Here is a 27614-nt window from a genome sequence, read left to right as displayed (position 1 = left end):
ATTACAGGCCCACGCCACCATGCCCAGCTTCAATTTTTAAGAAGTCCCCAAACACTTAGAGATCATTCTCAATATCAGTAATAATAAAATAATGACTTAAATATCCTAATGAGCAACTTCAAAATACTTTCAAAACCTTCAACTTTTAGAATGCCACAGTTGGCCTATACAGATTGGTTTCGCACACTGCCTAATGACTATGTCATGGCCCCTAGAGTACAGACATGGAGAAGTATATATCACACACAATAAAAATAAATTACTTTATATAATTACTTTTAAAATATATTTAACATAAAAGTATGTATTTACTTTTTAAATATTCAGTTTATTTTCTTCTAGGAATATACACATATTTAATATATATTATATATATTCTTTTAAAAAACACTGTGTAAAATGGAGTGTTTATATACTTTAATTGTATTTCCATTTCTTTCTTTAAAATAATTTGTAAAATGTCATAGGCATACAATTAGCCAGGTGAATCAGCGACACATAGTCACCAATTGTAATTTAAAAAATATTAACCTACCTTGCCAATAAAAGCTACCAGGACCACCAAGAAGTACTCTGTCAGCCTAGATGAAATCACACAACAAAAAGATATATATTTAAAGAACAAATATCTCTCAAAATAGAAATCAATGAAAAACATAAGATATATATGTATATGTATACATGACTGAACAATACAGTATTGTATCTTTATATCATTACCAGGTTAATTATATTTTTTAAAATTTAATAAGACTTTTTTTTTTTTTTGTAGAGACAAAGTCTTCCCTTATCCAGGCTGGTAAGCTGGTCAAACTCCTGGCTTTAAGCTATCTTCCCAGCTCAGCCTCTTAAAGTGCTGAGATTTATATCTATCTGTCTGTCTGTCTATGTATCTATCTGTCTATGTATCTATCTATCTATCTATCTAGTATATATTAAAGCAAACAAAGTCAAATCTCAAATTCATCTAACTCAGTTTCAGTGGTTTTCACTGTATCTTTTCTAAAATAAAATTTAAAAGAAACATTTTAATATATTCATTCAATACATGAAAATACACACTTTTGTGGATCTTGGCTGCTTCACATATTTGAAATGAGGACTAATGCGAAGTATTATCAGGTTACAATTTTTTTAAGGCACTTCTTAATTTTGTATATTAAATTTGTGACTATACAGCAAATTTTCTTTCTATAATCATTGAAGAATTTTCTGCTAAAGGAAATATTTTTAGTGTCTCAGATCTAAACAGAAGTGAAGTTGAGAATAAAATTTTCAGGGTGTATTATACATATACAAATTATGCTTGCCTAGCATTTCTTATATTTAACTATCTAAAAGTGTCTAATCCTAGGTATATTGTGTTTCAGCACAATATTTTAGAAATCTCTTCTTGCTGGAGGTAAGATAAATTTTTTTTCCCCTCCAAATGTACATATAGCCCTTCCAAGCTTTCAATAGACAATCTTTTGCCTTGGCTACGTAAAAGAACTTCTAAGTCATCTGCCCTAAAAAGACACCCTTTTCTCAGAAATGTGTTTAAGAAAGTGAATACCTAATTTAGCAATGACTTTCACAGTATGAGAGTACTTCTGGGGTTATGGTTGTATAGGCATCAATACAGAAAAGATGGACATTATATATTTTAAAAATATATAATACCTATTTGGAAATGTATCATACAAGTTTAAACCTAACATTTATTAATATACTTTATCTCTCTTTGGCTTACATTCTGAATTTTGAGTAATATAGTATGAAATTTAGAGTATTAAAAACAAGTTACCTAGTAAGAAGAGTTAACTATAATTATCAGTACCTAGTCTAGAAAAAAAATTAATAAAATACAAATACAGATAAAATAAAATTTTTAAAAAAACATTGAGACTGGGTCTTGCTCTGTTGCCCAGGCTGGAATGCAGTGGCATGAACATGGCTCAATGCAGCCTCACTCACTGCAGTTCAAGCAATCCTCATGCCTTAGCCTCCCGAATAGCTAGGACCACAAGCACATGTCACCCATGCCTGGCTAATTTTTAATTCTTTGTAGAGATGGTGTCCCACTATGTTGCTCAGGCTGGTCTCCTGGGCTACAGTGATCCTCCTACCTCAGCCTCCCAAAGTGCTGGGACTACAGGCATGAGCCACTGCACCCAGCCTACAAATTTTTAAAAAATAAGAAAATGCTTTATTAGTTCTTATGCATCATATTATTTCAATTTCAGTTGTTTTCATACATTTAAGGCACTCCTCTTTGCTCACATTTCTAAGAAAGCGTACATATAAGCTTTCTAAGGAAGGTCTACATATAATCCATCAACATAGTTTTTAGACTTCTCTAGAAAGAATATTCTCAATTTGATATTCAAAATGTGCATACTCCCCCACCACCAAAATAAATAAACACACAAAAGAAAAGTAAATAAAGAAAAGTACTTCAGAAAATTTACCTTTGAACATTTAAATGGAAGTCTTATTTTCAAAAAATAGATTAAAAATATCAATTCTGAAGAGAATATTAATTTAGTTAAAAATACATAGAGCCCTGCCTATGAGATTTCTTACAATTATTACACATTACATAAGTGAAGTCAGCTTCACTTAGTGCCTATAGGCACATAATAGATGGCAAACATACATGTTTCCCAGCTTTTATGTAACTCTAATTTTGTAATAAAGCTCTCATTGATAGCTTTTGTAAGAAAAACAACTTTAATTAAAAATAGAAAACTTTAATATGCTATAAATTCATATAACTGGAAATTTTAATATTAAGTCATAATAGTTACCTATCATTTACTGAGGAGAGTGTCTACTTTCCTCCATTCCCAGAGTGATGGGGGATGTCTCCCTATTTCAAATAAGCAATGTTTACTAGGGAGGGAATAATATAAGACAAAGAATGTCAAAATGAATGGATCGTTTTATTAACTGTTTTCATTAAAGAGCTAACAGCTGTAAAGGAGTTGAGGTATTGACCAGTTTATTTTTAACCACAGTCTAGTCAATAAGGTAGATGTGAATCTCATTCAGTCTTAAATAAGAACTTACTTTAGTAAAATCAATGCTGAATCCTCCTTGACAAAATCCCTGTCCATCAGCATCAATATCTTCTAAAATAAAAAGATTGGAAATATACACAAACCCAAAAACAAACAACACAAAACAAAACATGAGAAAATCTGATATCACTAGAATCATAAGATAATGTACCAATTTTTGAGAGTGGTCATTCACTCGGGCACTTAGTTATTACCACATTCCAAGAGAGTATGCATGTTTATCAGCACCATTTACTCAGATACGGAAACGAAGATTAAATACCTGAACCAGTCACCAGAGAACAAAGAAACCAACTAAAATGATAAATTTTAAACCCTTTAGTTAACCACAATCCACAAAAAGATTATAATTTATATCACAACCCAACACCCATTGTGTGTATAAAATATATAGATACAACTTAAAATCTTACCAAACAATATTTGTATTATTATATAGAATACTCTCTGACATTTTCTATTTTATTTCATTCTTTTTTTTTTTTAGAAAAACTATAGTGGTTTTGACCCACTACACTGATTTCATAAAACACTAACAAGTTGTGATCTGCAAGTTAAAAATTCCAATATGAAATTCCTCTGTCTTCCTATTACCCTAAGATTGCTAGGTCTTCGCTAAGACCTTTGTTATTATGAATAGCAGCAAACAGATACATACATTATAGAGCCAACAACAGAGATGAATAACATAGCTCAGAATTTCAGGAAATGGACAGACCAGAACTTAATGCTCTTCAAAAAGTAAAATATAAAGCTATCCTCCCACGTTTAGTACGGAGATCTAATTAAAGTAACCATCTTTAAATGATACTTTCAAGTATTTTCCAACCATAGTAGGCTCAATAGTTGTACTCTTTTGTAGTTGTTCCCTTTTTAGTTGTTCTCATAGAAAGGGATTAATTCTGAACAATTAGCCAATTAATTTAAATTAATTTTAATCATGAGCAATACAGTACCTAGAACACATGTAAGGATGAATCTGAACACTTTCCCCTTATTTTACTTTGAGGATAACAGAGAACAATGGAAAACACTATCCTTCAGTTATCAAAGACTCACTGTGGCCAATGTTACAAATACATTAAAGCTGTACTGTTACTTTGTTTGCCACCCAAATACAGGAACCAAAAATATCTGTTTTCAGTCACAAGGACAAACTTCTAAGAACTTCTGCTAAATAATCCCATCAGAAATTTTGAACCCATTTTTAAAGCCTGGAAACTGCCCAAAGATTACACACTTAATATCTAAATTTTTTTAAAGTTTTTTTTTTTTGAAAGAAAATAGCCTCAAGAGTATAATGCTAAACCAATGTAAATTTTTCTAACCAAGAGGGAGTGGGAAAATGTGGGGCAGGGGTTTCCAGCATCCAGTGAATCAGACTAAGGAATTCTGCTCTAACCTCAAGTTAGAGCAAGTCGGCTATTTATTTCCTTTATTCAAGTTGCATCTGGGGAACTATTTCAAGCTATTTATAAAGACATCCTTTTTTTGATTATCATACTGTACAATTATCTGCTTTATTTGGTTTCCCAGAGTATCCAGCTAAAAACCATGACTGTCTCTTAAAATTTTCTTAACAGGTATATATTAAACTGAGTGCTTTTGCCAATTTAAAGACTTCATGTTGAATATAAACTATTTTGATGCAGGCTCTGGTACTTATTCCTGCAGATGGTTAATACTTCTCCCATTTGTTAAGTCTGGTAATTATATTACAAATAGTAATATTATTGATTCTGACAGTAAGATCAGCTAGGGTTTATTAAGCCTTTACTCTGAGTCAGGTATTATGCTAAAGCATTTTACATGACATTAACTTTTTAAGTCTTTATACCAATCCTATAAGAGATACTATTATTACTCAATAATTTGTACAGATAGGGAAACTGATGCTTAGGGAAATTAGGTAACTTGACCATGGCCAACCAGCTAGTAAATAAGAGAGTAGGACCTGAACCCAGGTGTGTCTATAACACTACACTGTACTGTTTCAAATCAATAATATCTTTATCATTCCCTGAGTAATGACAAAAGGAAAGGAAAAGCCAACTAGAAATCATTACTGAGAAAAATCTATGTTCAAATAATATTAGCATCAGAAAGCAGACAGAAGGAACAAAAGTGGCTAGGCAATTTAGAACAGAAGAACATCTGGTCTACTGCATAATGTCCTTTGTCATTACTCAGGAAATGATAAGTATATTGTTGATTTGACATAGTGCAGTGTAGTGGTGTAGACACATGTGGTGTCAGGTCTATACTCTCTTATTTACTAGCTGGTTAGCCACGGTCAAGTTACTTAATTTCCCCAAGTAATTTTGCTTTTTTGTTGTTTGAGGTTGTTTTTTATGCTCTTCTCCTAAGGTCTGAGGTTTTATCATGCAGTTATGAAAAGCTGAAAGCAAATGTAATCAGTAATAAGGTAAGTTAGTGACAGACAGTGAAGTTCCTTGTCCACGGTGTCCATATAAGTCAGGTTAAAAACAGAACAAACCAATTAACCAAACTAACTAACCAACAACAACAACAACAAAAACTCAAAAGCAAACAAATAAATAAAATAACCCACAAGACAAGCAAAGTTATTAAAAAGTTAGCAGTGTAGTCTTACAAAACAGACATCATCTCATAAAACCAATTATTCGTTTGCATAATTTATTGAAGTATGAAACAGATAAAAAACACTGAATTTATACCTCAGAAGTTTTTTGTGTGAATTGGTGTTTTACCAATGATGAAACAAAGGCCCAGAGTGGTTAGGTGAATTACCCATAGCTATAGGTGGATTGTCAGCACAAAGTCAGAATATAACCCAGGTTCTCAGACTTCCGCTCCTGAGTCTTCTTCTCTGAACAAGATGCCCCTCACAATTTAGGCCTATTATAGGTGGCTTAACATTTCAAAGGTTGAATCAAAAAGCATGTACAATAATCAAGGGTTACTGAAAGTGTCAGGCCTATTAGAAACAAAGGCATGCACTTTGCTTTTCTGTTTTTTGAGACTGTTCTTTAAGCTTTTCCTAAGATTTGAGGTTTTATTATTTAGATTAGGGTTCAGCAAACTTTTTCTGTAAAAAGCCGAACAGTAAATATTTTAGGCTCAGGAGCCACACAGTGTGGCAACTCAACTCTCACAACTGTACTAGATGATTATAGATAACACATCAACAAATGGGTGTGGCTGTATTCCAATAAAACTTTATTCACAAAAAGAGGCCCACAAGCCACAGTTCATTGACCTGATTTGGATGTTAAATACCTTAGAAAATATGGCTTTAAATGACTTTATAATTTCTGTGCCTAAACCAAATAAAAGCATTCTGTGAACAAGGGAATCATTGTTAGAACGCATGTTTTCAGGAGAGTTCCATGTATTCTTACATATCAGGAATTATCCAAACCTAGGTCATGAAAGCAGGAGGTATTCTTTGTAGAAAAGCTGTGCTTAATACAGAAGCAACTGAAATGGAAAACATTTTCTATTGTGAATAATGTAGAGGAAAGGTTCTTTTGGAATAGAACAACTTGGGTTTAAATCCTCATTTGACCATTCAGAACATCAACACTGACTTACTCTATATGTATCCTGAAAACAGTGAAAGTAGGTCATAGCAGCTACTTCTCTACACGTACTTGATGCTCCAGAGTGGGTGGCTTGCTCCTTTTGCTTACTCCTGCTTTCTTGCACCTCTTTCTGCCTAGAATATCCCCACTCTCAACCCCATGAGATGTGGAAATAAGATTGCTTCAACTATGTGAACCTCAGTTCCCACATGCATCAAATGAAAATAAGAGTGTACTGCGTGTGTGTGTACATCATATAATTAATAAGTAACAAACTTGGCAAACAAGGGTTAACTCATTCTTCGTAGCTATAAAATTATCTTTTCAAATAGGAACATTTTTGCAATATAGAAATTAAAAATACAAATTTAATCTTCAGATTCTCTACATACCACCGAAGATGACAGTACCATAACCAAAATACCAACATAAAGATGGCAGTACAGATGGCATCCAAGCACTGAGGATAAAGCCTCAATTTCCCTCATCCTGTGCAGTGTATGCTTTCTAACCTGATTTTTTCTCTTTCCTAACACACAATACAGATCTGAGTAGGTATCACTCTTTTAATGTTCACTTCCCACTTATAACAGGTAGGATCAAAGTGTTGGGCTAAGAAAATAAGTGTTTATTGAAATAATCTGCAGTTTCCTGTAGGTTCAACTACTTAGAATCTGGAGGACAGAATAGTTCCTTTGACCTGGTGTCACAGGTCACCTAACATGGACAAAACAAATGTAGGAGTAAGAGTCTTACATGTTGTGCTTTTGTTACTAATTTTCTCTAATAAACTATGTGGTGACCAGTGGAACACAAAAAATAATGGCCTAAGGGCTCTAGGCATAAACACTATACTGCATTTCAGTAACCTATTTTTATGCTTCTGGTACAAGGAAGATCTAAAGCAGTAGCCAATTCAACAAAGGGTAGCGGGGCACAAAAGGACTGGAATCTCCAAAGAGAAGAGGATGTAGAGATTTTGGAAAAGCATAATCAAAATTATAATTGCTTGAAGTCATCTTTAGCCATGATATTAATTCCTTTTGAAATTTCAAGTAATATTAGCAAAGAGCATAAAATCCTCTGGATCACCAAAAAGGGGTGGGCTTGGTAGCAGGTTAACAAAGAAATTCTGATTAAGAGCAGGAAAATTCAGAGTCAAGACTCCTGAGTTCAATGTTCATCTTCCTATATAAACTTTGGCTCTTTAAGACATAATATTCTTTATTTTCAACATCATTATTAATATAAAGCAGGAGTTCTCAAACTTTGGTATCTATCAGAATTGCCTTGTAGAGTCTGTTAAAAGTGCAGGTACCCAGGCCTGACCTAGACCTACTGAATCAGAATCTTTAGTTGTGGGGTCTACATCTTCTCTGTTAAGAGAAGTTCAACTAAGCATCTTTTGACTGTTAGTCATCAAAAATACAGATTCTTAAAATCAGGTAGTAACTATTATTATACTAACGAAGGAAGATGAAAATGAGTTCTTAGAAAAAGTAAACCTGTTTACTTCACATTTGTAATATCTTTACATTAGTAGGATTGTTTTCATTTTGTTATCATCATAATATGTCTATATCTTTTAATATCTCTCTCTCTCACACACACACACACACCCACACACACATATTTTTAACAAACTAGGCTTCCCACCCCTCTTCTTAAAAGCTGGTACAATATCCTATACATACGTGATCTACATGGAGCATACTCAACAGTCTTTGTTCCATCTTGAAGAAAGCATGTTCCAACAGGCTCTCGCTCCTGTTTCATCTCAGTTCTCCAATGGTACAATGGGGCACAGGCCTAAAATCAAAGGTTTAGTCCACGACACGAAGATTTTCTAAAAATTTAGTGTTTCAGATGCTCTATACTACTTCAGAATATAATACCACTTTCTCTTTTTTGAGATGGGGTCTCAGTCTGTTGCCCAGGCTGGAGTGCAGTGACGTGATCATGGCTCACTGCAGCCTTGAACTCCTGAGCTCAAATAATTGGCCTTACCCTCTTGAGTAGCTGGCACCACATGCGCATGCCACCATGCCTGGCTAATTTTTAAAAATTTTTTTATAGAAACGGGGTCTCACTATGTTTCCCAGGCTGGTCTCTAACTGAACTCAAGCAATCCTCCTGCCTCAGCCTCCCAAAGCGCTAATTGTGAGCCACCATACCTACCACACCTGGCCAACTTTCAAAGCATTCATAGAAATTAATCAAACCTATCCTATACCTTAAATTTCTTATCATAGTGGTAAATAAAGATATTAAGTGAAGTCTTTTTCTCACATTATTCTGAAGGCCATATTTGTAGTCCAATTTTTTTTTTCAAAATAGTTAGCAAAATTGTTATTTCAGGTAGTATATTTCTTGATGTAATATGCTATGCTAAAGGTAGAGACCAAACTAGCTTTTGAACTAAGTAACACTCATGCATATGGAATATACCCCCTAAATTATACAGCAAATAGTTTATTAAGAGAGTAAAATAATGCGCAGTACTTATTTTATTTACTTTCCAAATAAACCATGACCTTTTTGTTTTCAGCATTCTAGACTGTAATACCACATAGAGCAGTAGAGTAATGAATGCTTTAACAACATAGTAATCTACCAAATGTGTAACAATTCATTTAGTGAAAAAGGTTTAATTGATTTTCTATAATACTTTTTGAAGCAAAGTGCTAACATAAGCACTGCAGAACATCAATACTGACTTATTGTATATATACCCTGAAAACAGTGAAAGTAGGTCATAGCAGCTACTTCTCTACACGTACTTGACGCTCCAGAGTGGGTGGCTTGCTCCTTTTCCTTACTCCTGCTTCTTTGCACCTCCTTCTGCCTAGAACATCCCCACTCTTAACCCCATCCTTCACCTCCAATTGCTGAAATGTGGCACATCCTTTAAAGTCTGCTAAAACTTCACCTCCTAAGCAAATCCTTCCCTATGCAGCATAATTAGATGAAAAAATAAAGGCAACAATAAATACTACGTAAATAATTAAAATAGGCGGAGCAGTCTCTGAAATCTGAGTGACAGCTGAAATCTGAATGACAAAGGGCTAGCCAAGTAGAAATCATAAAGACAACTTATACAAGCAGAGGAAACACAAACACTAAGGTACTAACTGAAATAATTTGGAATGTATAAGAAATAAAGATAAGCCTGGCTTTAGTATGTGAGATGGAGTGAGAGGAGGCCAAAGACATAGCCAGTGACTTGTTTTTGGAGATGTTTTTAAGGCAGTATGAGCTTGTCATACTTATGCAGAGAGTGACAGAAAGCCACTTGACTGTTTTAATCAAGAAGGTAAAATGCTCTGGTTCACTCTGGTCCTTCTTGCAGTTAGGGTAAGAGAAGCAGCAGCAGGATGAGAAGAGCCGTTGCAGTGGTCCAAGGGGGTAATGATGGTGGCTTGTTGCAGGGTAGAAATAGCGGACATGTAGATCTACTGATAAATGTTGAGATATATTTTTGAGGCAGATTGTGAGTGCTCACTAGTGAATAGGGTGGAAACCCAGGCCTCCTAAAAAATTGGGAAATATATATAATAATAGTTTTTTATTTGTTTTTCTTCTTTGATGGAAGGAAACAAGAGTCCTATTTTGGCCATGTTCATTTGGAAGCCAAATAGGTAGCCTGGAAATATGCCTTTAAGGATCCAGGGAGAATTAAAAGCTAGAGGTATAGATTTGGGGATTATACTTACAGCCATGGGTTAGGCTAGGAACCTCTAGGTAAAAGTTGTAGTTAGAGGAAGCAAAGGAAGCTAAATAGAGATCAAGGATACCCCAATATTTGGAAACTGAACGTTAAGAGCAGCCATTAAAGGAGACTACAAAAGAGCAGCCAGTAAGATAGGAGAAAAACCAGGAAAATACAGTTCACAGAAACCAAGAGAAGAAAAATTTAGTTCTAAAAAAAAAAGGGATGTTGACCATTCTGAATAATGCTGACAGTGCAAGAAAGATAAAAATAAATACCAGCAGAGAAAACAAAACATAATGGTGTGTATGTATGCACATATGTATAAATGCTAGTGGATTTCAGTGACCTGAAAGTCAATGATGACATAGGAAAGGGAATGTGAAGTAAAGAACTACGATGGTTACCATAGAAAACATTTCAGAAACTGAGAAGAGGAGCAGAGGAATGGACAGTGGCATAGGGGGAGATGAGGTGAAGGAAGGTTGTTATTTTTTTTTCTTTGTTCTGTATTCCACTTCAACATCGTGTCGTATTTTCAAAGAGAGGAAGTGGCCAGGCTCGGTGGCTCACCTGAGGTCAGGAGTTAGAGACCAGCCTGGCCAACATGGCGAAACCCTGTCTCTACTAAAAACTACAAAAATTAGCCAGGCCTGGTGGCAGGTGCCTGTAATCCCAGCTACTCGGGAGGCTGCAGCAGGAGAATTGCTTGACCCTGGGAGGCGGAGGTTGCAGTCAGCCGAGATCGCACCACTGCACTCCAGCCTGGGTGACAGAGCAAGACTCCGTCTCAGGGAAAGAAAAAAAAAGAGAGAGAGAGAGAGGAAGTATTAAAGCACTTGTTAGCCAAAGCCACACTATTCCTATACTTGGCTAGGTGGAAATAAACTGATAGGAACTGTCAAGTGGGGCAGGTAAAACAAAGTAGGAATAAGGGTGAAAAAATGTGAAAGCCTGTTCAAGAAGGGCAAGAGAGATGGCCTCCTTGGACAGAGTGGCCTTTGATCAGAGCTATCTTATGTTGTTATACCCTGTGCCCTTGAGCATACTGAATTTTACTATCAGCCTGAAAATATAAAACCTTCTGTGTCTCCACATAAACTGACTAAAATCACCTGTAAGTAAATATCCAGAAGACTCACCAAAATTTTATCCTGTTTCGACCTCACAGATGCTCCAAACCACTGATGGGACTTAAATTCCAATGGATCATCCTTGGCATAATCTCTATTGCCTAAAAAAGAATATTGTGAGTGGTAAGACACAAAATATACTATTCTTAATATAACAGTTTATTTTTATCCCCAGCTAGGTTGAGAAATAGTACACCTTTGATTAATCAAATATTCCACTGGTTATTTTTCTCATATACAGTTTATATACATTAGAGACTTTCAAGTAATCAGAAACATAGGATACATGATGACCCAGAAGTGTCTCAGTGTTATTATTAGCCCCATTATCATAATACACATGATTGAAAAAGCAATTGTAAATAAAGTTTTCCAGTTGCTCAACTGTTAGATAATTAACTATTAAACAAATACGTATGATCGCCTATTCCCAGAAGATCTTTCGGTGGGGCATAAAGATAATTATGAAAATTAAATGCTATGAAACACCTTTGTGTAAAATGCTATAAAAGACAAGACTGAGACGTGTGCCTAAGACATAACAATGCAAGAATTAGAATCCAGGAAACTTGATTTGGTTGGTAGAAAAAAGAATTCAATACGGCACACTACAATCAAACATTTATTTTTATTACTTCAGCCCTCACTATTGAGAAAATTATTTCTGTACACTAAAATTCCAGTGTCAAAAACAAAATGATGCATTGGGATAGATCGAACATCACTATATTCTTACCAATATAAGTTTACTTGCCTACAGGACACCTGGGATAGAGTCCTCAAAATTGTCAATATCATGAAAGACAAAAAGAGTAGGAAACACTTCTAGATTAAAAGAGACCACTAAGACATGTCGACCGAATGCAAGATGTGATCTTTGATTGAATTTTATGTCCAGACAATTTTTTTTCAAAGTTACAAAGGACTTTATTGGGATAAATGTGGAAATTTGAATTGTGAACTAGAGTAGGTAACAGTAATAATGTTTAATTCAGCAATAATTACATTGTTACTGTTAATATTCTTCATAATAATGATTCATTTCTAACATGTGATGACTATATTGTACTTACATAAGAAAATGTCCTAGTTTTTAGGAGATACATGCTCAAGTATTTAGGGATAAGTGTAACAATGTCTGCAACAATGGGTGAAGCTAGGTGAACAAGTGTGTTGTTCGTTGTTCATTGTATTACTGAAATTGAAATTTTCTATAAGTTTGAAAATTTTCACAATAATTTTTAAGACACAGCAATCAATAAGTACAAAATATATGTACAAGACCAATGGTACCTTCTTACCCTTTTAACACTTTATTGTATTTACTCTAATTATAGATGTCTTATTCATTACAAAACAAACCAAAACATAAAACAAAGCCATAAAGACAGATCTAAATACCACAACCCCACCATAAAGAAATGACCTCTGTTAACACATTAGTATCTATCCTAAAGACTTGTTTCATGAATACATGCATGTTTTTTATATGTAAAATTGATATTAAGTCAATATTTAAGATAACATTAAAATTATCATTTTATAAATATATGTACGTTTTTCTCCCTTAATATGGCACTTATAAAGGCAGACCTATAGTATCATTTTCATTGTTGTGTAGTATCCCATTATACAGCCATAGAATACTTTATTTAATCAATCCCCTACATCTCCCTCAATTTCAAATTTAGGAATATTTCTATTTTTGGAGGGCAGTAGTGTGATCACAGCTCACTGTGGCCTCAACCTCCTATACTGAAGCGATCCTCCCACTTCAGCCGCCACAGTAGCTGGGTCTACAGATGCATGCCACCATGCCTGGCTAATTTTTGTATTTTCTGTAGAAACAGGGTTTCATCATGTTGTCCAGGCTAGTCTTGACCTCCTGAGCTCAAGGGATCAACCTGCCTCAGCTTCCCAAAGTGCTGAGATTACAGGTGTAAGCCACCATGCCTGGCTGATATACTTATTTTTATGCGGAAGAGTTCTCTTATCCTTCGTCCCTAGTCTCTGAAACAAGTCATGCTTATTTCCACCTGCAGGCATTTGTGTCCAAGGTCCTCTTGCCCGGAAACTTTATTCCCTCCACTCTGGATTCAAATCCTAACTGAAAATTCAGGTGTGTTTGTCTGTTCATGATGCTAACCCATGATGAAATGGTAGTCTGCCTCTTATGGGAACATTTCTCTAACACAAGAGATAATCATAGGAACAAGCAATTATGGTGGAAAATAGTATAGGCACCCGTAAAGAGTTATAGGAAAGTAAGGGTACAGTACAAGTGAGGAAATGTTTTCTGGGCCAAAAGAAAACCTTGTGCAAAGAGGCAGAAGAGTGGGTAATCTTGAATTTTTTAAGAGAATTGTGAGTTGTTCACTATAACTAGAGAGAATGGTCAGGAAGGGAGTGGTTATCAAGAGCCTTTTCTTTTCTTTTTCTTTTTTTTTTGAGATGGAGTCTTGCTCTGTCGCCCAGGCTGGAGTACAGTGGCGCGATCTCAGCTCACTGCAACCTCCACCTCCCGAGTTCAAGCGATTCTCCTGCCTCAGCCTCCCAAGTAGCTGGGATTACAGGCACACGCCACCACGCCCAGCTAATTTTTTGTACTTTCAGTAGAGACAGGGTTTCACCATGTTGGCCAGGCTGGTCTTGAACTCGTGACCTCAGGTGATCTGCCCACCTCAGCCTCCCAAAGTGCTGGGATTACAGGTGTGGGCCACCCTGCCTGGCCAAGAGCCCTTTTTTCTTAATTGAAATATAATAATTTTACATATTCATGGGGTACATAGGGATGTTTCAATACATATAATGTATACTTATCAGGTCAGGGTAATAAGCACGTTCATCACCTTGAACATTTAGCACGTTTTTTTGTGTTGGGAACATTCGATTCCTTCCTTCTACCTATTTGAAATTAGACAATACATTATTTTTAACTATAATAACCCTACAGTGGTAGAAAACACTAGAACTTACTCCTCCTGTCTAGCTGTAATTTTGTGTCTTTAAACAAATCTCTATTTTCCCATTCTCCCTACCTTTCCCAGCCTCTAGTATCTTCTACATTTTACTTCTATGACATCAACTTTTTCTTAGCTTCCACCTATGACTGAAAACATGCAGTGTTTAATTTTCTGTTCCTGGCTTATTTCACTTAACATAATATCCTCCAGTTCCATCCGTGTTGCCATAAATGACAGGACTTCATTCTTTTTATGGCTGAACACAGACACGTACACACACCACATTTTTCCAGTGTGTATACATATTCCTGAACACAGACAGGAGACAGGAATATATGTACACACTAAATATATATATATATATAAAATATACTATATATAATGTATATAATGCATGTACATATATATATATACACATACATACATATACACACACCATGTTTTCTTTATCCATTCATCTGTTGTTAGACACCTGAACTGATTCCATATCTTGGTGATTGTGAATAGTGTTCCAATAAATATGGGGACACAGATGTCTCTTTGATATACTGATTTCCTTTCCTTTGGATAAATGCCTAGTAGTGGGATTGCCAGATCATATGGTAGTTCCATTTGTAGTTTTGGAGGAACCTCCGTACTGTACTCCATAGTAGCTGTATTAATTTACATTCCCACTTTTGTCAAGAGCTTTTATGCCATGCTAAGACTGGGCTTGATGGGATTTTTGAGTTGCCTTCTATGCTAAGCATTTTTTCTCAATTATTATATTCCTGAAAAGTGAAATTTCTTCTTTGTGAAAGGTTATCCAATCTCTCCGTACCACTTTGAAAATTTACCTCCATGAATGTTTTTCTTAACAAACGTTACTTTTCTTTAAATTTGTATACGGTGGCACAACATGCTGCTGGGCACTGTCAAGCAGCATAGGCTTGCAAAGCTACCATGTTCTGTTTCCTATTTCTTTAAAAAAGTATCAAAAACATCCCTTGCCTTAACAGTTATGGATATCTGTCTTTGTGGACATCAGGGTTAGCTTAAGCTAGAAAATTCATGCAAAATCAGTACAAATTTGACATATCTTTTTGGAAACCAAAGTAGTCCAGTATAACTGGATATAATGCATTGGCGTATATTGGCACCCAAAACTTAGTCAATGGTCTTCAAAAAGAATAACATCATCCAGTGCTTTCAATGCCTTCACCTGCAACAGAGTTACAACCTCATGTTACCATCTTTTTAAGAAGTTTGCTCATTAGGAAGTTTGTCTTTACTAATCAAAATTGTTTTTTTGGAGACCAAGTCTTAAAATCTTTGATTCAACATTACATAGAAGTTTCACCCAGAGGAAGTGTAAATAGACTGGGTGAAGAGAATGCAAAAGAAAGCCTGCTCTCCAGACAAACTGACAAGAAGTTCATTCATGACCTGGGTGAAACTGGCAGCTATCCTGAGGCACATGAGTGAAGTAAATATTTTGAATCACAGCCCTGAAGTCAGCATTTAGGATGATGTTGGACCTCCTCAGATAGCCTGGACTATGCTGACACACTTGAAAAGGAAACAGGACACAGACAACTGCAGAAACTCAAGGGCTGGAAGAAATGCTTTCTCCGGCAACAGCCAAGAATAGAAAGATTTCTGTCCATAGTCACAAACCCCATTGGAAGATTAGCTCTGTTCACCCAGATAAATAAAAAAGAAAAAAAGAGTATCTCACACAATAAAATAATTTTATTTAATTATCGAAATAAAGTATTTAAATAACTTAAATCTTAAATATTATTTTATTTCATAATCTTTAAATCTCTTTCTCTAATAAAGTTGAGAAGAAATTGCTCTGTATTATATAAATTAACATAAGGCTCTATGCTACCACTTTCAAAAATACAGAGGAAAACTTTGCTAGAGAAACTTGAAGTTAATAAGCAAGTAAATCACTAGAGACTTGAAAATTTCATGTTTATTTTGCCAGGTTTGGAAACTTGTCATTTGCATTTTATCAAACTCCCATGACTGCATGCTTGAGGACAGAAGCAAATGAGAAAACCGGATTGTCGTAGCTTTCGACTCTACTCCTTATTAGCAGCCAACTCTTTTCCCCGGTGTTTCCAAAGGCATTGTCAACACATTTGGCACTCAACTTGCTGGACAATTATGGGCAGTGCTTATTTTTAAGATACAATTACCTTCTTACCCTAAGCAAAATGTTTTGTTTCTTCTTTTCATGCCAAAAGAATATCCCTTGGAACAAGATTATGTCACCTTTTTGTGAAATGGCCAAAGTGAACAAGAATGCTAAATCATTAGAAAAGCAAGAGAGTAAACTTCCATTTTGAAGCTAAATGTGGTTTTAGTCACTTGGTTCCTATTTATCACTATGACTTTTATGAATAATGAAATAATTCAGGTCCTTAACTTACTTTTTGCTAAAAAAAAAAACAAAAAAAGAAAGAAAAAATGTCTATCAAAACAATACCACCCTGCATTCATAGACAATTCACAGACTTTCTTAAGCAGCTTTTTACTTCAAACATCACTTGTTTAGTTGTACTTCCTATAACAAATTTGCTTGAAAAAAAATATCCAATAAAGTATGCTTATTTATTAGGTAAAAATGGACAGGTTAGTGGAAGAAATATCTTAGATTATCCATTAATTTATTTAAATAAATCATAAATCATGGGTACCTCCTATGTCTATATGCTAGTAATATAGCATTAAACGAGACAGATAAGTCCTTGCTTTTCAAGGAGAAAAGTAATATATAATTATATAAAATATTTTCAGAGAGCAATAAATACTATAAGGGAAATTTGAGAGAAAATGATTTGGAGGTCAGACAACTACTGTTATCATGCATTTATTTGTAACCCAATGCTATTTTGAAATAAGGTATATCGGCCGGGCGCGGTGGCTCGCGCCTGTAATCCCAGCACTTTGGGAGGCCGAGGCGGGCGGATCACGAGGTCAGGAGATCGAGACCATCCTGGCTAACACGGTGAAACCCCGTCTCTACTAAAAATGCAAAAAATTAGCCGGGCGTGCTGGCGGGCGCCTGTAGTCCCAGCTGCTTGGGAGGCTGAGGCAGGAGAATGGCGTGAACCCGGGAGGCGGAGCTTGCAGTGAGCCGAGATCGTGCCACTGCACTCCAGCCTGGGCGACAGAGCGAGACTCCGTCTCAAAAAAAAAAAAAAAAAAAAAAATAAGGTATATCATTGACTCAGAGCTGCAAATATTCAGATATTAGTATGCCTAAAATCTGAATGTGTACAATAGTCAACAGTGATATATTTATAATGGTGACACTTTTAGTATTTTTAGTAGTACATAAACAGTACATTTTAACATCAAAGGCACCTGTACATTCACAGTCAACTGATTTTTGACAAAGATGCCAAGCAAATTCAGTGGCAAAGAAATAGTCTTTTCAACAAATGATGCTGGGACAACTAGATACCCATATGCAAAAAAAATAATTTGGAACCATACCTCAAACTGTACCAGAAAATTAACTCAAAATAGATCACAGACATTTTTACACGTAAGAGCTAAAACTATAAAACTCTTAAAAGAAAACAAGGAAATAAATCTTCATGAACTTGGGTTAGGCAATGATTTAGAAAACCAAAAGCATAATGATAAAAGAGTAGATATATTAGCCAATTAAAATTAAAAACTTTTGTGCTACAAAAACACCATTTAAAAAGTGGAAAGACAACCCTCAAAACTGGGGAAATTACTTGCTTATCAAATACTGGATTAAAAACTTGTATCCTAAATAATATGAAAAAAAAAACGAAAAACTCCTACAACTCAGTAAGACAAACAACCAAATGAAAAATGAGCAAAGAATTTGAATAGATGTTTCTCCAAAGAAGAAATAACAGCCAGTAAGCACAAGAAAAGATGTTCAACATTATTCATCATCGGGTAAATGCAAATCAAAACCACAATAAAATATGGCTTCACACTCATTAGGATGGTTATTATAATATAAAAAAGACAGAATATGAGTGTCCACAAGGATACGGAGACACTGAAACCCTCATACATTACTAATAGAAATGTAAAATGGTACAGCCACTTTTGAAAATAGTTTGACAGTTTTTAAAAAAGGTAAATATAGATTACCATATGACGCAGCAATTCCACTCCTAGACATCTATACAAGAGAAAGGAAAACATATGTCCCCACAAAGATTTGCACATGAATGTTCATAGTAGCATTATTCATAATAGCCAAGAAGCAGAAAACACTCAAATGTGCATCTACTGGTATAAACAAAATGTTTATTCATTCCGTTGAATACTGTTAGGCAATAAAAATGGAATGTAGCACTGATACATGCTACAATAGGAATGACTATGTATCATATAATTCTGTTTATATAAAATATCCAAAACCAAAAATATGTAGACACAGAAAGTAAATTAATAGCTGCTTAGGGCTGGAGGTACAAATGGGGAGAGACTGATGTTGGACACATTTCTTTTTAGGGTAAATGGAGATGCTCTGGAATTAGACTGTAGTAATAGTTACAAAACTCTATAAATATAGTAAAAATTCATTGAATTGTACACTTAAAACAGGTCAATGTTATGGTAAATTATATCTCAATAAAACTGTTTTTAAAAAGGACAGATTTGTCAGGAGAAAAAGTAGCTGTAGCATTGAACAGAAATGTATATATATATAAAAAATGACTTTTTCAAAATTAATTAAAAATAGATGTGTCAGAAGAGTAATAGACCAAGAATAAAAATGAATAATATAATAGATCAAGAATGAAAACGGATAATAGAAAACAAAATTTAAAAACCCAGAAAGAGCTAATAAGCATATGAAAAAAGACTCAAGCTTACCAGAAATGACAGAAATGTAAATTAAAACAAGATATATGTTTCACCTGTCAGGCAAAGGAAGATAGTATCAAATTTCGTTCAAAGACTGCTTGTGTCAGTATTTTCCTATTTGGCAAATATGTATCAGAAATCTTGAAACACACATTCCTATGACTTCTAAGTTTAATTTTTAAAAATTAACTAAAAAAACTTTTTGTAATATGAACTAAGACTAATAAGCATGTCAAACAGAATGTCCAACAGGAGACAGAGTAAATTATAACTTTATGTATTTTGTATATTTACACACAGACACACACACACAGAGAATATACACAGGCCATAAGGTACATGCACAAATACACACACAAAAGTATATCCTATGGCCCTTGGTTTCCTGAGTGGTGAGATTTAAGTAGGTCTGGTTTTCTCATATTTTCATCAATGGACATGCATTATTTATAAAATGTTTTAAAGGTTTTTTAAAAAGTAGTGTGGATAAATATCCTTCAATCCTCATATACAAAAGCTTAGTTTGAAGCTCCCACATCCCCTCTTAATTAACTTTGTTTACATTTTCATCTCTTACATGTAAAGGAGTTTTAGTTCATAAAATTCAAGAAAAAATTTTAATCACACAAGCTCTTCTTTCTTTAAGCATTAGCGTTCCTAGGAACCTCTTCCTTCTTTTTTTAAGCACTGACCTTCCTAGGAACCTCTATTCTATGTTATAGAATTAAACTATTAGAGTAGAATATTGCATAAAATAACTAATTAAAAAATAAAAATTCTAGATACTCCTGAAGACTAAACTGGTGGTTAATGATTTCGTTGACTTAGTAAGGAAATACAGTTTGTTAATTGATTTAAGAAACTCTGACAAATAATAAGTAGTGGTAAGATATTAGAACTAGTACTATTAACGAAAGGACAATTTGCTTTATAAACTTCCAAAGTGTCTTCAGATGTCTCTTGAAACTTACCTGTATTGACTTAAAATGGCCAAGAGACCAAGTTCCCTAAATCCAAAGTATTTGAAAAATAAATCATTTATATATACAAAAATAAGTTCTGCAACCATAATCCATGGACATGCAAAAGTGTTATTAATTTATATAGAACTATCCAGAAACATCTTTTACATAAAATAAGATACAGCTGTTTCCCAAAAATAAACAAAAAGAGTCAGAAAAGCAGAACCAGAGGAAAACAGGAATGAAGCTCATTTCACTGGGATTGGTATTCATTGAGTTAGTTAGTTATTACTACCACAGCGAATAAAGAATCAAAATCTCCCTCTTCTTCCATGAGCAATTCCAGTGGTCCTGCTGGAGTGCAGCACAAAGAATACAGGCCTTTTGAAAATACTCACTGCTTTATCAATGCTGGTTTGTTTCCTTCTAGCCATGAAAAGGAAATGATCCTGAAAGCATCTAACATTTTAAGACAAAACCTCTTTACTGGGGATTAAAAAAAAAAAAAAAAAGCCAATCCCATGTTAAGTCCTAAAGAATGGGTTGAGTCAGGTCAAAGTGAGCAGGGAAAGGAAGAAACTTTAAAAGAGCTTGTGAGTTTGGTTTCAGTAAAATACTGAAAACATTAAAATACTGACTAACTGTATGACTGTCAGTCAGTTAGTAGTAAAGGAATTAGACTAAAAGATTTCTAAATTGCTTACCAGCTCTCTGTGTAATTCTGTAACAGGGGATAACAGATTATATCAGGAGAAACATTTTTATTTTTAAAAAATCCTTAGTATAAATTTGTTTTGTATTAACAAGGGAAGGGAAACTACTTTTCTTTTTAACTTTTTAGTTTACAGGACAGTTGCAACTGTAGAGATACCTAGACACAACTCTGGAAGACAGAAAATTCATCAATAGGAGGAAGTAAAACTTAAAGGAAGTTAGTTTAGGGTCTGCCTGAGTGTTTTAATTGCAACGAGATGGAAATTGTACTGCAGAAGCTAGAAAACAGCTAAATGTTTTATATTCTCTATTAAATACAAAGCCTAGTTATACCCAGAAAATACTCCACAGCATTTTTCTTGACCACAGAACTGGCATAGCCAAGGTTTGCTCTCAACCTACAGCCAGGCCCTTCTAGGAACAAATGGCAAGCATTCCAGCAAGCTGTTCTGGGTAGGAAGAAGAGTAATCTGACCTCTGCCCTTCTGTATGACAGAAACAGTTAGTGGTAGGTGACATCCATTCACTGTATTTGGAATATAAAGGTAGGAGCTTCTCCTTTAAAAAAAAAAAAAAATTAAACAGGTAGGTAAGCCTTCATTTCTAAGCAAAGAGACTTTCGTAGGGCAGTGATACATGGTCTCTTTTCTCAATGTACATTAGCAGTCTATCTTTTTGGGTGGAAAAAAAAACACATTACTAAGAAACATGGCCAAGGCTCAGACTGTCAGTAGCATCTGCTTCCCTAGAAAAGGAAAACATGTTATAAGAAGAGGATTTTCTCAAATGTCACAATAACAGAAGTTAAAATGCAAATCAAGCTATAATCAATTTAAGAATATCCACAATTATCTTTATTTCTTTCCTTTTCCGTATTTATTTAGTTCCCTACAGTTCTAGTATGGGCACAACATAAACAATCCTTTCTTCACCGGTATAATGCTTTCTTGTTTACAAAGCATTGAAAGTAATGGCAAAAATCGCAATTACTTTTGCACCAACCTAATACCTTCATAGACATTACCTTTTTTAAAAAAAATCAGATATGGGATCTCATTATGTTGCCCAGGCTGGTCTCAAATTCCTGGACTCAAGCAATCCTCCTGCCTCTGCCTCCCGAAGTGCTGGGATTACAGGCATGAGCCACCAGGCCACCATGCCTGACTGACATTACCTCATTTGATCTACATGGCAACCCTGAGAGGTAGGTATTATGCTTATTTGACAGATGGGGAAATTGTGGATGGTGCTTGCCCAACGTCACAGTTAATAAGTATCAGAGTCTGAATCTGAGCCTGCATCTTCTAAATCTAGTTTGCATTCTTTATAACCAAAGCTGCCAAGGGAAAAAGAACAAGAGAGACAGCAATGCCTACTTATATAAGCATGGTTCTTGCCTCAGCATAGCTTGCAGTATAACCAATATCAATTGTGGCTTACACCTGTACTCCTAGCACTTTGGGAGGCTGAGATGGGAGGATCACTTGAGGCCAGGAGTTTGAGACCAGCCTGGTCTAACATAGCAAGACCCCAACTCTCTTTTTTAAAGAAAAAAATAACAAATAATTAAAAAAGAAAATACATAAAAGGGCACTGTGGTAGGCGAATAATATCCCTGAGATATTCAACTTCTAATTCCCAGAAACTGACACATAAATATGTGACCCTTGTAAGGCAAAAAGGACTTTGCAGAAGTGATCAAATTAAGGACCTTGAAATAAGAGGTAAGTCTGGATTAGCTGGGTGGACTCATTATAATCACAAGGGTCGGGGGGCAGTAGGGTCAATGTTCGAGTAATGCAGCATGAGAACGACCCCGGTAGCTATTGCTGGCTTTGAAGATAAGGGAAGGAACCACAAGACAAAGAATGCCAATGGCTCTACAAGCTGGAAATGGAAAGGAAACAGTTTCTCACCTTGATTTGGCCCAGTGAATCCATTTTGGACATCTGACCTCCAGAACTAAAGATAACAGATGTGTTATCTTTGGTAACTTACGACAATAGCAACAGGAAACGAATGCAGCCATGAAGGCAAAACAGATAACAGACTACATGAGCAGTCTAGGTTTGCTACATGAATAGTCTCAATATTGTTTTGCATCGCAATCTATTATAGTTTGGAATAACTTTACTACTGAAAATACATAGATCATTAATCCCTAAACTAAATCATCCACTTGTGAGTTTTCTACCTATCAATCATCTTAGACTAAAACAAAGAAATCATACCCAAAATAACTGTTTCATTTTCACTAATTCCACAACATATCAAAGTTCACATTATTCTTTCAATTTAGGGGAAAAAAACTATTCCGTCATTATGCAGACCTTGCTTAAAATCTATAAATTATGAAGAGTCACTGGATGAAAAGGTTTACAAATCCAAGAGGGCAACTGCTATTTCAAAAGCAAAAGCAAGTTGTAATATTTCAATCATTGCATAAACATATAAAATAAGAAACTTTTTAAAACATCTTAGTTGTGGCTTTGTTTATACATTCTATCAGGCAAATCTGGGGGAAAAAGAAAAATAAAGATGACAAGCCAGAGTCAAGATCTTGAAAGAACATTAACAGGGCAGCACATTTTGGAGATAACTTTTGCAAATCTAAATTTTGGACTAAGGTTTCCTTTTTACTCCTGAAGGCTCACTAAAGCATAAATATTATTCAAAAATCAAAGCAGCGAGTAACTTTTCTATCCTGGATTGTACCTTCTACTAAATTAAACTTTGTATCATGAAACTCCACATTTTTTAAAGTCGTGTCTATAATATTTTGAATATATGTATATGATAATATTCATTATTTCATGTAACTTCTATCATTTTACCAAAAAAGTGACTAGGAAAATTAATAAGACGGGTACTGAAAGTATTAGTTCATCTGCAATGTTCATGTGAAATCTACAAGGAACCAGGAGTCCAAGATGTCCCTATGGGGCTCTAGATCCTTCTATCTCTAATATAATACTCTATATGCATTAAGATTTAATGGTAAATTTATTTGGCTAGACCTTTAGAGTATGTTTTTAAAAACTCATTTATATCTTTCCTCAGCTACTTCCAGTTTTATTCCTCATCGTGCCCTCAACACCATAACCCCACCACCACACACGTATAACCCTTATGCCCACATACATATATATATATGTAGGGCACATGGAATTACTTGATTATCAGTCCCTAACTTCTTTTACTCAGCATACACATACTGTTTTCTCAAGCTAGAACCCTCTTCGACATCTAAGGAATTTCATCTCATTTTTCATTAGCTAGCTCAAATGTCACCAACTAATCTAGGAAGCCTTCTTCAAAGTCCCCAGGCAAAGTTAGATACTTTCCAGTTATGCCTCCTTTATTTTGGTATGAATCTATTTATGTCTACTTTTCAGAATTACAGTAAAATAACTTTTAGACTGATCTCTCAAATACATTTTTGAAAGCCTCTCTCTTACCCCCAACTCAAACCACCAAAATCATGTTACAGGATAGGAAAGCACATCTAAAGTGTCCATCTGTCTTCTTTAAAAGCTAAGAAAGTTGTGTTATGATACCTTAAAAGCAAAATCCAGATTTTCTTAATTAGCTACTAGTGTATGTCTTAATGCACGTGACAAGCAACAGTTACATGGCCTTTTAATAAATGATATACTATCTAACATCCAGGGACGTCACTGGTAAACACAAAGTAAAATTAGTTCATGAATTACTAATTAGCCCAACAGATAAAAAGGGTTATTTGCAAAGGATGTTTCCTTCCTATTACCCTGTTTTCCAGTCAAAAGGAGAAAAAGGCACCCTTTTAATCCTATACCTTTTAGTTCCCTCTACAAGCTCATAATCTTCTTAGTTGTGTAAGATAAGACAGGCTTTCCAGGTCTTTCACAGATATGAGACTTAGACTCACCCAAACAGACACTACTATAAAAGTTTTAAATCTCTATAAAATGATGCAAAGAGGCATGATGGACAAGAAATTATTCTCATGGTGTTACTCCACATTCAGCAATAGCAGTACCAGCAACAATAAAATCCACTGGTTGTTCTTTTGTTAGCTTCTCTTGGTTCCTGCTTATTTTTTCAGATAACTGTTAAGTTACCAACATCCTTCCAATAAATTCTTGTTCTGTTAAATTTAGCTAGAGTCTATTTCTATTACTTTTCATGAAGAGCCCAAAACTTGCATGGAACATACACACAGGCAACCCACCATATGGAAGTGGAATAAATGGTGAGTGGAAATAAATGTGTTCCCTGCCTTTAGATAGCTTATAGTCTACTCAGGAAAACAAACATACTATAACATCAGTAAGAAAAAAAAAATCAACAAAAAATTCAGCTTAATAAGAAAGAGAACTGTACTCAGTGCACTAAGACTACCAGTATGGCAGAACCTGACTTAAAAGGTGAATGGGAGAGGAAAGGACCATTTTACAAAATATTACTTAATGCCAAGCATTTGTAGTATCTCCAAGCACTTTACTGTAAAATTTTTGTTGTGATTCTAGAGCTAGCTGAGGTTTGTTCTTTTTTGTAGGAAGGAATATAGTTACTATTCTATTTTTTCAAAGGAGAAACAGACTATGCAGCAACCAGCCTAGAATATTTCATACAATTACAGACTTCAAATGTTGATGCAACATCATCTGCGGCTTCCTAAGGCTCAACTAAACTTTCAAACTCACAAAACTATCAAAGGCCATATGAAGCACCAATCTACTTGCAAGGATATAGGACACAACCACAGCTTTCCAGCAGGACAGAACCAGACATACCTCTTTGGTGAGAATCCTTACATGAACTTTCCTATACAACTGTCCACCCAGCTGTCCAGAGTACTTCTCTTTGCCCCGCCAGGTGACGGCTCAGATATGAAGAAACAAAACCTGGTAGACGCAGGAGTCATTCTGGCTTCAAAGCCTCTTGCCCCCCAGAAATGATATCTTTTGCAACAACTCCATAGCCATAGCTTCCAGAGTCGCCACAAAACACATGCCAGTTTTGTGTCACTATACTCAAGGAACCCCAAAGCTATGACATCCCTATCAGGTACTTAGTCTATTTATAGTTTCTCCCAATCCAAATGCAACTTAACGTCAGGGGCCATTTTTAGCATAAGCAATGATACCTAGTCACTTAGTCACTCAGATACTCAGTAAGTCAGACTAGAAACTTAAAGGAAGACCAAACTGGCATGCAGAATAGAAAGTGGTTTTAATAACCATTTTCCAGCAGATGATTATTGATAATATTCCATTTTAATATCCCTATATGTGTTATTCAGTTTAGTTCCCATTATGCTATAGTAACAAGCATCCCCCAAATCTCAAGTAGTTAAAAAGAACAATAGATTTTTTTTTGTCCACACACATATGAGTAAGAGTCTAAGCTTTATGTCTTCCTTACCACAGGCCTCAGGTTGACAGAAGTTCTACCATTTCAACTATCACTACTCCCTGTGACATCTGGGAAGGGGCAGAATAATGCCCCAGCTCTTAAACCCTGCCACCCAGAAATGACACAATTCTCCTTATGTTTTATGGGCCAGAAAAAGTCACATGGGCATACCAAAGGTCTTCCCAGAAGTTTAAAAAAATGTGAATAATGACAAAGTGTTGTAATATCTCCCACATCATATAATTACAGCTAATTTTCTTGAGACTGTTTCATAAACTAAATTACTTCCCAAATATTAAAAACATGAGGACAGGGCACTTTTAAGCACTAAAATCTGTTCTGGGCTCAGAAACACAATAAAGTAAATAAACTAACCAATTTATACTCTTCGTGATCACCCCTGGAATGTATTATACAATGTAGAATGGCAGGTAATTTTCCCAAGGTAATGTTAGAAAAAATGACAGAGGCTAGATTTGAGCCCATGTCTGTCTAACTACAAGGCCTATTCCTTTTCATGACACCATGAGGTTTAACAATAGTATCAAGTTTAGGAGGGATAAAAGGATGTGATCATTTCAAGCAGACGAAGAGCAGAAACTTTAAGGAGGGAATGGCCAATGGGGTGAATTGTAAAAGAGCAGTCCAAAAAGATGAGGAACCATAAGCATCCCCTGAAGCTGGCAAATAGGCTGCTGTCAACAATCGCAGTTAGAATCACTGCTGGGTTGGGTCGGTGCCACAACCCAACAGTGATTCTATTGGATTGAAGCATGACAAGTGATGAAGACACAATATGTATTCAAAAATCATGGATGTAAAGGAAAGAAGAGAGAAAGATGTGACTGACTAAGAAAAGATACATGTTCAAGGGAAAACAGTTTTTGATTAGTTTTTCAGGGAAAAAACTTTAAACACACTTCAAAGTTGGGGAAGAAAGGAAAAGGGAGAATGTAGCAGGGATACAGAAGCAAATGAAGGAATAGGGAGGGTCTCTAAGAAGGCAAAAGGGAGGAATAGCGACATGAAACAGCTCATGTTTACTGAGCCATTTCAACATGCCAATCCCTGTCCTAAGCACTTTAGAAGTCTTCACCTATATGTAAATTAACTCATGCGATGTAATCCACACCCATGGAGCAGGTTGATGAGAATACTGCACTAGGGAGATGAGGGTAACCTAACAGTAACCCGTGCAACGTCAACAGCTGGTAACTGGCAGAACCAGGGTTTGAGCCCCAGGGAGGCTGC

At 35.3% G+C, this 27614-nt stretch overlaps 1 protein-coding gene across 4 annotated transcripts in view; it reads right to left on the bottom strand.

The window, feature by feature from the left end:
* The window catches only part of ITGAV (integrin subunit alpha V), a 90846-nt gene that overhangs the window by 46992 nt on the left and 16240 nt on the right, over positions 1 to 27614 (bottom strand). For 2 of the 4 annotated variants that reach the window (NM_002210.5, NM_001144999.3), the window contains exons 3-6: positions 11480 to 11571; positions 8323 to 8437; positions 3052 to 3113; positions 536 to 581 (exon numbers count right to left, since the gene is read on the bottom strand). In NM_002210.5, coding sequence (NP_002201.2) covers positions 536 to 581; positions 3052 to 3113; positions 8323 to 8437; positions 11480 to 11571 — 315 coding nt within the window. Of the gene's footprint in view, positions 1 to 535; positions 582 to 2789; positions 2818 to 3051; positions 3114 to 8322; positions 8438 to 11479; positions 11572 to 27614 lie in introns of those variants that run through there. The other 2 variants (NM_001145000.3, XM_047444225.1) reach the window with 2 other exon arrangements.

This window comes from Homo sapiens, chromosome 2, assembly GCF_000001405.40.
Source record: "Homo sapiens chromosome 2, GRCh38.p14 Primary Assembly".
Lineage (NCBI taxonomy): Eukaryota > Metazoa > Chordata > Mammalia > Primates > Hominidae > Homo > Homo sapiens.
This window is presented reverse-complemented; position numbering and strand designations above follow the sequence as displayed.